Genomic DNA, 9,677 nt, shown 5'->3' on the forward strand with positions numbered 1-9,677 from the left:
GCCAGAAGCAGGGCAGAACCAGGGCCAGGGCAGGGACATGGCAGGGCCAGGGCCATGGCAGGATCAGGGTCAGCAGAAGGCCAGGGCAGGGCTAGGGTAGCGCAGGGCCAAGGCAGGGCAGGGTCAGTGTAGAGCAAGGAACGGGCCAGGGTATGGCAGGGCAGGGACAGGGAGGTCCAGGGCCAGAGTCAGGTCCAGGACATGGACAGGACAGGGCCAGAAATATGGCAGGACCAGAAAGGGGACAGGGCAAGGGCAAGGCCAGAGAAGGACCATGGAAAAAACACGGCCAGGGAGGGTCCAGGGCAAGGGCAAGGCCAGGGCAGAACCAGAGCCAGAGCAGGCCAAAGGCAGGGCCAGGGCAGGGCAAGGCCAGGGTAGGGCGGGGCCAGTGTAGGGTGAGGGTAGGGCCAGGGTGAGTTCAGGGCCAGGGCAGGACTAAGATAGCACAGGGCCAAGGCAGGGCCAGGGCAGGGCCAAAAGGAGGGGCCAGGGCCAAGCATGGCCAGTGTCAGACCTGGGGATTGTCAGGGCCAGGGTCAGGGTCAAGGCTGGGCCAGGGACAGGGCCAGAGCAAGGGCAGGGCCAGGGAGAAAGCAGAACCAGAGAGGATCCAGAGCAAGGCCAGGGTCAGGGCAGAACCAGGACCAGGATAAGGCAAAGCCAAGGCCAGGGCAGGGCAAGGCCAGGGCAAGGCAAGACCAGGGAAGGGCAAGGCCAGAGTAGAAAAGGCCAGTGTAGGGCCAGGCCAGGGTAGGAGAAGGCCATGGTAGGGCCAAGGCCAAGGCAGGGCAGGGCTAGGGTAGCACAGGGCATGGCCAAAAACAGGGCAGGGCCATAACAGTGGCAGGACTAGCAACAGGGCCAGGGCAAGCGCTGGACCAGAGCATGGTGGGGACAATACAGGGCCAGGACAGACGATGGCAAGGCAGGTCCAGGGCCATTTCATGGACTCGGTAGGCCTGGGGTCAGGCCAGGGCAGGGCAAAGGCAAGACCAGGGAGAAGGCAGGGCCGGGGCCAAGGCAGTGCCAGGGCAGGGCAGGACCAGTGCAGGGCCAATGCAGGGTGAGGGCAAGGCCAGGGCATGGAAGGGCAGGGCAGGACCAAGGAAGGGCCAGGAGAGGGCCACGGCAGGGTCACGGCCAGAACAAGGGTATGGCTGGGGTCAGGAATGTGGTAGGACGAGGGCTGGGCCCAGGCTGGGACACGCAGGGCAGAGCATGATCTGTGCAAGGCACGGCCAGAGCCAGGCCATAGAGATGGGAGGGCAACACCAAGGCAGAGTCAGGGTAGATCCAGGGCTGAGCAGAGTCAGGGCAGGTCCAGAGTCGAGGCAGAGCTAGGGCCCAAGCAGGGCCATGGTAGCACCAGGGCAGAGGAGGGCAGGGCAATGCAGGACTGGGCCATGGCAGTGCCTGGTCAACTCCCGGGCAGGGCCAGAAGCAGGACAGGGCCAGGGCCAATGCTCAGGCCAGGGACAGGGCATGACAGGAAGTGCCAGAGCAGGGCTGGACCAACGTTGGGGCAGGGCAAATCAGACCAGGACACCTCCAAGTCCATCTCTGGCCCTGCCTTGGCCCTGGCCCCTTCCTGGCCTGACCTTGTCCCTGGCCCTGCCCTATCCATGCCCTGTGTGTTTGACCAGTGTTTTATAACCAGAATCCTACAAGAAACTTAAATTAGTTCTTTTTGTGCATTTTTAGTAGAGATGGGGTTTCACAATGTTGCCCAGGCTGGTTCCAAACTCCTGAGCTCAAGCCATCTGCCTGCCTTGGCCTCCCAAAGTGCTGGGATTACAGGAGTAATCTGGCCAAGTATTTAACTTCTTTATACCTGTTTCCTACATTTGGAAAATGGGGATGCTTTAAGTACCTAGCACATAGAATTATTGTGAGAATCAATGCCTCACATATTAACATATTGATAAAATTATACTCATAGAACACTACTGGAAGCAAAGATAGTATTAGTTAAAATTTAGTGATTACTGCAAATATTATTACTATTACAAACAATATAGTATAGACATTACTACTACTATAGTTATCTTAAAAATCTAAAATAAAAATTTTATGTAATAGCCCAATGTAATCTCTCCTGCTCTGTCCTGGCTCAGCCCTAGTGCCGGCTCTGCCCCTAGTCCTACTACATCCCTGGCCCTGACCCTTCCCTGGTCCAGCCGCTGCCCTGGCCCTTCCCATCTTCAGGCCTTACCATGGCCCTACCCTGGTCCTGACCCTGCCCTGGTCTGGTCCTGACCCTGGCCCTACCCCAGAGAAGGGGTATGGCAGAGCCAGGGAAGGGCCAGGGCAAATAAGGGACAGGACACATCCAAATCCAGGAAAGGGCCAGGGCCATGACAGAGCCAGGGCGAGTCCTTGGCAGGGCCAGGTTCCAGGCCAGGGCCAGGAAAGGGTCATGGCAGGGTCACTGTATGGCCAAGGTCCAGGCCAAAGCCAAGGCAGTGGCAGGGTCAGGTCTGCATAAGGGCAGGACCAGAGCCAGTGATACGGCAGGGCCAGGGCCAGGGCCAGGGCTGTGCCAGGACAGAACAAGAGCAGAGCAGGGCAGGACCAGAGCCAGGCCATAGAGAGAGTAGGGCAAATGCCAAGGCAAGGCCAGGGTAGTGGTAGTGCCAGGGCTGAGGCAAGATCAGGGAAGGTCCAGGGCTCAGTCAAGGCTAGAACCAAGACAGGGGCAAAGGCCGGGGCAGATCTAGGGCACAAGCAGGGCAGGCTAGGGCAGGGAAATGGCAAGACCAGGCCATGGCAGGGCCAGCCCAGGATAGAACAGGGCACAGGCAGGGCAGGGCCAGGGCCACGGCTGGGGCAGGACAAGGACCAGGACTGGGGTCCAGGCCAGGGCAAGGGTATGGCCAGGGCAGAGGTAGGGCCAGAGCCAGGGTCTGGGCAGGACCAAGGCAGGTCTATTGCAGGGCCAGGGTTCAGACCAGGGCCAGAGCAGGGCTGGGACAGGGCCAGGGCCAGAACCAGGAAAGGGCAATGTCAGGACAAGGGCCGTGGCAGGACCAGCAATGGGGCTGGGGCCAGAACAGGGACAGGGACAGGGTCAGGGCTAGGGCCAGAATAGCATGCCAGGGTAGAGCCAGGCCAAATTAGGGCCAGGACAGGGTCAGGACCAGGGCTGGGCCAGGGTATGGCCTTAAGTAGCGAAGGGTCAGGGCCAGGGTCCATGCCAGTGCCAGTGCTGGTCCAGGGAAGATGCAGGGCCATGGCCAGATCTAGGACAAGGCTGGGGCAGGGCCAAGGTCTGGGTCAGGGTCAGCAGAAGGCCAGGACAGAGCCAGGGGAGGGACAGGGCCATGGTAAGACCAGGTTACATCAGGGACAAGACACCTGCAAATCCACTTCAGGGCCAGGGTCAGGGCAGGGCCAGTTCAGGGCCAGGGTCAGGGCTGCCAGGGTCATTGGCAGGGCCAGGGCCATGGCAGGACCGGGGTCAGGAGCAGGGGTCAATGCCAGGCCTAGGCCACACATAGGACCAGGTCTGTGCTAGGGCCAGTGTGAGGGCCAAGGCAGGGTCAGGGCAGGGCCAAAGGGAGGGCAGGGCCAGGGCAGGGTGGAGCAGGCCCAGGGTAGCACAGGGTTAAGGTAGGGCACGACCAACCAGGGCAGGTCTATGGTTGGGGCCGGGGCAGGGCCAGAGCCAGGGCACAGCCAAGACAGTGGCAGCTCCTGGGCAGGGCCAGGGTTAGGACCATGGACATGTCCAAGGCCAGTGCCAGGGCAACAGCAAGGGCAGGAGCAGGGCCAGGTTCATCTAAGAACCAGGGACAAAGCCAGGCCCAGAGCTGGGCCAGGACAGGTACCTGGCAGGGCTAGGGTCTGAGACAGGGCCACAGCAGGACCAGGGCCACAACCAGGTCTGTGCTATGGCCAGGTCCAACACAATGCCCAGGTAAGGCTAGGGTGAAGGCCAAGGTAGGGCCAGGGCAGGGTCAAAGCCAGGCTAGGGCCAAGGCAGGGCCAGGGCCGGCAAGGCAGGGCCAGGAAAGCATAGGGCCAGGGCAGGGCAGGGCCAGGGCAGGGCGGGGCCAGGACAGTGCCAAGACCTGGGCAGGGCCAGGGCCAGGGCCATGGCCACGGCCTGGGGAAGACCAGGTTCAGGGCAGGAGCAAAACAATGGCAAGGACAGTGCAGGTTCTTGGCACAGCCAGGGTCCAGGACAGTGTCAGGGCAGGGCCAAGGCAGGGTCTGGGCCATGGTAAGACCAGCAACAGGGCTGGGGCTAGGCCAGTGACAGGACCAGAGTCAGGGCAAGGGCCAGAGCAGTGCAAGGCCAGGGTAGGGCCAGGCATTTCAGGGTCAGGGCCAGGGGAGAACCAGGGCAAGGTCTCAAGCAGGGAAGGGCCAGGGCCAGGACAGGTCCAGGGCAGGGCCATGACAGGGCCAGGGGCTGCGTTAGGGCAAGGGCAGGGCCACAGCAAGGTAAGGGTCAGGGCCAAGGCCAGGGTAGGGACAGGGCAAGAAATATGGCATGACCAGGGGCAATGCCAAGGCCAAGGTTGGGCCAGGGCTGACCCGGGACTGAGTCAGGGCAGGGCAGGGCATGGTATGGCCAGTGCAGGACAGGACAAGAGCCGGTCCACAGAGAGAGCAGAGCTGATGCCAAGAAAGAGCCAGGCTAGTGCCGAGGCTGAGGCAGTGTCAGAGCATGTCCAGGGCAGGGCCAGGGCCAGGGCCAGAACCGAGCCAGGGCACAGCCAAGGCAGGGTAGGGAAGGGAAATAGCACGGCCGGGTCAGTACTGGGACAGGACAGAGCAGGGCAAGGAGATGGTAGCGGCAGGGCAGGGACAGGCCAATGCAGAGCCATGTTATGCCGGGGCCAGGACACCTCCAAGTCCACTTCAGGGCCAGGGCTATGGCAGGACAAAGACCACGGCCAGGATCAGGGCCAGGTCTGTGCTAGGGTCAGCTCCAGAGCAGGGTCTAGCGCAGGCTAGGGTGAGGGCCAAGGTAAGGCCAGGGCAGGGTCAAAGGCAGAGTAGGGCCAGGGCAGGGTGATGACACATCCAGAGCGCAGCAGGGCAGGGTGATGGCAAGACCAGGGGCAGACCATTGCCAGCTCAGGGCCAGGGAAAGTCCAGTGCAGAGCCAGGAAAGGGTCTGGGTCTGGGTCAGGGCCAGGAACAAGGCAGAGCAGGGCCAGGGCCATGGCAGAGTCAGGGCAGGTTCTTGACAGGACCAGGTTCCAGGCCAGGGCCAGGGCAGCAGCAGGGGCAGGGCCTGGATAAGGGCAGGGCCAGGGATATGGCAGGACCAGGGCTAGGGCCAGGGCCAGGCCATAGTGAGGGCAGGGCAAAAGCCAAGGGCAGGGTCAGGGCAGGTCCAGGGCAGGTCCAGGGAGTGGCCAGCACCAAGCGGGGCCAAGTCACAACCAGCGCAGGGTAAGGCAGGGCAATGGCACCACTGGGCCATGACAGGGCAAGGTCAGTGCCAGGAGAGGGCAGAACAGGCAGGCCCATGGTGGAGCCAGGGCAGGGATGGGCCAAAGCAGGGCCAGGACATGTCCAAGGCCAGGTCAGGGCCAGAACAGGAGCAGGACCATGACCATTGGCAGGGCCAGTGCCATGACACGACCAGGGTCAGGACAAGAGGCAGGGCCAGAGCCAGGGCCAGAGCCAAGGTCAGGCCAGTGCAGGTTCAGGGCAGGGCCAGTGCCAGGGCAAGACCAGGGCAGGGACAGGGTAGCACAGGGCCAAGACAGGGTCAGGATGGGACCAGAGCAGGACAGGGCCGAGAGTCCAAGTAACAGTAGGGCAGGTACAGGGCAAGGCAGGGCAGTACAGGGCCAGATCCACGGCAGGCGCAGGGCAAAGCCAGGCCCATTGCCAAGGCACCAGCCCTCCCTACAAGGCTCCTACCACCTGGCCACTGCTGCAGCCCGTCCATCGCTCTAAGCCTGACCCCCAACCCTGGCTGCAGCCGCCTGCCCTCCTAGCGCAGCCGCTCTCCTACCGCTCTGGCGCACCGCAGTCTCTGTCACTGCCGCCCACCCGCAGCGAGGCGAGCCATGGTGTCGCAGGCTCTAGGTGTCTCCTCCTCCTCCTGGCACAGAGCAGCTGGGCGGGCAAAACCAGAAAAGCCTAGGGAAAGATGTGAGGGGTGGAAGGGTTAGAGCCTCAACTTGTCATGCCGGCCACTGGGTGGCAGGGGCCAGTTTCAGCAAAGGCACTCACACCCACCCTACAAAGTCCAGCCTCTCCTTTTGGCCCAAGCTGGGCAGGAACTGGGGTCTGGGGTGGGTGCTGGAGACACCACAGCATCCAGCTCCCCACTCCACAGGAACCATTGGGCCCACTGGGGCTGCACTCCTCGGGGAGCAGGAGAAGCAGAAAAATTCAGACCCAGCCAGCCCTCCACACCCAGGTGCCAATTCCTGTTCCGGACGCCTCCACGCACAGGGCCCTGTCCCCCGTGGTGTCCCCAGGGGTGCCTGGCAGCCTCTGAGGCACAGACCCACAGTACACAGGCCCAGGAACCACGGTGGGTGTGGGGGCTCTGCCATGCTCAGGATTCCCACGCAAACGCTGTGTGCCCTGCTGCACTCCAGTATGACCAAGAGTGGGTCGCCCTCTGGAGTGTGGAGTCAGGGAGAGGAGAACCACTCCTTCCTTGGATGCCAACTCTGTTGACCGACACCAGCAGTGCAGCCCCTGATAGCACCGAACTCGCCCCCGCTCCATGGCTAGCCCTGCCCTCAATAGCGCCCCCCACCTCCGTCCCCCAATGCCGCCAGTAGCGTATAACTGATAGTGCCCTAACCTGTCCTCCTCCATGGGCATTGCAGCCCCAGAGAGCACCCATAACCCACCCTCCCTGCCGTGGGCAGTGCAGCCCTGTACAGTGCTACCAACCAGTACCCCTAATGCAGGCAATGACACCCTGGATAGCGCCCTCAACCCACCCCACACTGCGAAAGGTGCAGCCCTGGATAGCCCCTGTCCTACCACTCTGGTCGTCCTGCAGTCTCTGTCACCACCACCACCAACCACAGTGAGGCAAGCCAGTGGGCCACAGGCTCTAGGACCCAGCAGCCAGGCATGGAGCAGCTCTCGCTGATGGCCGGCTCCTACCACTCTGACCACGCTGCTGTCTGTCTCCGTGGCCATCTTCTTTCACTACAAAGGAATAAAACTAGGTATCAATAAGAAAAGCAATTTTGGAAACAATACAATCACATGGAAGTTAAACACTACCCTCCTGAATAAATGACTAGTGGGTCAATGAAGATACTAAGACAGAAATTCAAAAATTTCATGAAACAAAGGGTAATGAAAACACAGTATACCAAAACTTGTTATGCAGAAAGCAGTACAAAGGCAGAGATTTACAGCTATAAGTGCCTACCATCCAAACAAAAGAAAACCTTCAAATAAACAATACATCTTAAAGAACTAGTAAAGAACAAACTAAACTGAAAATAAGAAAATAAATAAGATCATAGCACAAACAAAATTGAAATAAAAAACAGACAAGATTAAACGAAAAGTTGGTTTTCTGGAAAGCTAAACAAAATTGACAAACTTTTAACCAGGCTAAGAAAAGAGACAAGATTCAAATAAATAAAATCAACAGATTAAAAAAAGGAGACATTACAACTAATACTTCAGAAATTCAAAGGATCATAACTGGCTACTATATGCCAATAAATTGGAAAGCCTAGTAGAAATTGGCAAATTCCTAGATGCATACAACCTACTTAGGTTAAACAATGAAAACATCCAAGACCAGAACAGATTGGTAACAAGTAATGAGATTGAAGCCATCAGAAAAAGTCTCCCAGTAAAGAAAAGCCCAGGAACTGATGTCTTCACTGCTGATGGCTTCACACCAAACAATTTAAAGACCTAGTACGAATCCTGCTCAAACTATTTTGAAAAACAGGAGGGAATACTTCCAAACTTATTCTATGAGACCATTATTACTGTGATGCCAAAATCAGACAAAAGCATCAAAGAAGGAAACTACAGGCCAGGATCTCTAATATTGATGCAAAAATCCTCAACAAAATACCAGTGAATCAAATTCAGTAATACATTAAAAAGATAATTCATCATGATCAAGTGGGATGTATCCCTGGGACCCAAGGGTCACTCAACATACAATGTGATACATCATATCAACCAAATAAACGACAAAAACAGTATCATCACGTCAACTGAAACTGAAAAAGCATTTGATGAAATTCAACATCCCTTCATGCTATAAATCCTCAAAGAAACGGGCACAGAAGAAACATACCGCAACGTAATAAAAACTACAGGAAAGACACCCACAGCTAGAATCATATGGAATGGGGAAAAATGGAAAGCTTTTCCTCTAAGATCTGGAACATAAGGATGCCCCCTGTCACCACTGTTGTTTAACATAGTACCAGAAATCCTAGCTAAAGCCATCAGTGCAGCCCCTGATATGGCCCCCAACCCACCCTGCCCCCTACCACCAGCAGTGTCACCCCCCCAATAGCACACCCAACATACCCAAACTGCCCCGCCTCCCCACACCATGGGCATTACAGCACCCCATAGCGCCCTCAACCCGAAACCGCCACCCCCCCGACAGCCGCACAGTGCAGCCCCGGATAGCACACTTAGCCCACCTCACTGTTGCCAGCAATACAGTCTGGGATAGTGCCCCCAACCGGCTCCCCACCAAAGGCAGTGCAGCCCCGGTTTGGCCCCCAAACCACCCCCCCCCCGCCCGGTGCAGGCAGCACAGCCCCAGATAGCACACCCAACCGGCCACCCAAGACGGGCAGTGACGCCTGAGATAGGGCTCCCAACCCGTCCCAGGCCACCCACAGTGCAGCCTGGATAGTGCACTTACCCCGACGCCTTTCTACGCTCTGGCTGGCTGCAGTGTCCATCGCTGCCACCAACCACAAACAGGGCTGCAAACAGGAAGGATTTTATTCACTGTCCATGCGGCCCTGAGTTGTCCCAAAGCGAGGCAGTGCCCCCAAGGTCTGTGCAGAGCAGAACGCAGCTCCGCCCTCGCGGTGCCACCGGCCCGCCCGCCCGCGTCTCTGCTGAGGAGAACATTGCTCTGCCTTCGCTGTATCTCCGAAGTCTGCAGAGGAGAACTCAGCTCCGCCCTCGCAATGCTCTCCGGGTCTGTGCTGAGGAGACCGCAGCTCCGCCCTCGCAAAGGCACACAGCGCTGGCGCCGGCGTGGCGGAGAGGGGGCCAGTGGCGGAGAGGCGGCCAGCGGCGGCGCGGCGGAGAGACGGACAGCGGCGGAGAGGCGGCCAGCGGCGGCGCGGCGGAGAGACGGACAGCGGCGGCGCGGCGGAGAGGCGGACGGCGGCGGAGAGGCGGCCAGCGGCGGCGCGGCGGAGAGGCGGACGGCGGCGGAGAGGCGGCCAGCGGCGGCGCGGCGGAGAGGCGGACGGCGGCGGAGAGGCGGCCAGCGGCGGCGCGGCGGAGAGGCGGACGGCGGCGGAGAGGCGGATAGCGGCGGCGCGGCGGAGAGGCGGACGGCGGCGGAGAGGCGGACAGCGGCGGCGCGGCGGAGAGACGGACGGCGGCGGAGAGGCGGACAGAGGCGGAGAGGCGGACAGCGGCGGCGCGGCGGAGAGGCGGACAGCGGCGGAGAGGCGGACAGCGGCGGCGCGGCGGAGAGACGGACAGCGGCGGAGAGGCGGACAGCGGCG

General features: G+C 59.9%; 1 long non-coding RNA gene across 1 annotated transcript; it reads right to left on the reverse strand.

Annotated features, from left to right (window-relative positions):
• Positions 1 to 4,071: 4,071 nt before the first annotated feature.
• LOC105371172 (uncharacterized) lies at positions 4,072 to 9,192 on the reverse strand. Its single transcript, XR_922006.3, has 3 exons — positions 8,852 to 9,192; positions 6,973 to 7,143; positions 4,072 to 6,108 (listed from the first exon to the last, which is right to left on the reverse strand). It is a non-coding gene; the product is annotated as an uncharacterized LOC105371172 (long non-coding RNA).
• Positions 9,193 to 9,677: the final 485 nt, after the last annotated feature.

This window comes from Homo sapiens, chromosome 1 (genome assembly GCF_000001405.40).
Source record: "Homo sapiens chromosome 1, GRCh38.p14 Primary Assembly".
Lineage (NCBI taxonomy): Eukaryota > Metazoa > Chordata > Mammalia > Primates > Hominidae > Homo > Homo sapiens.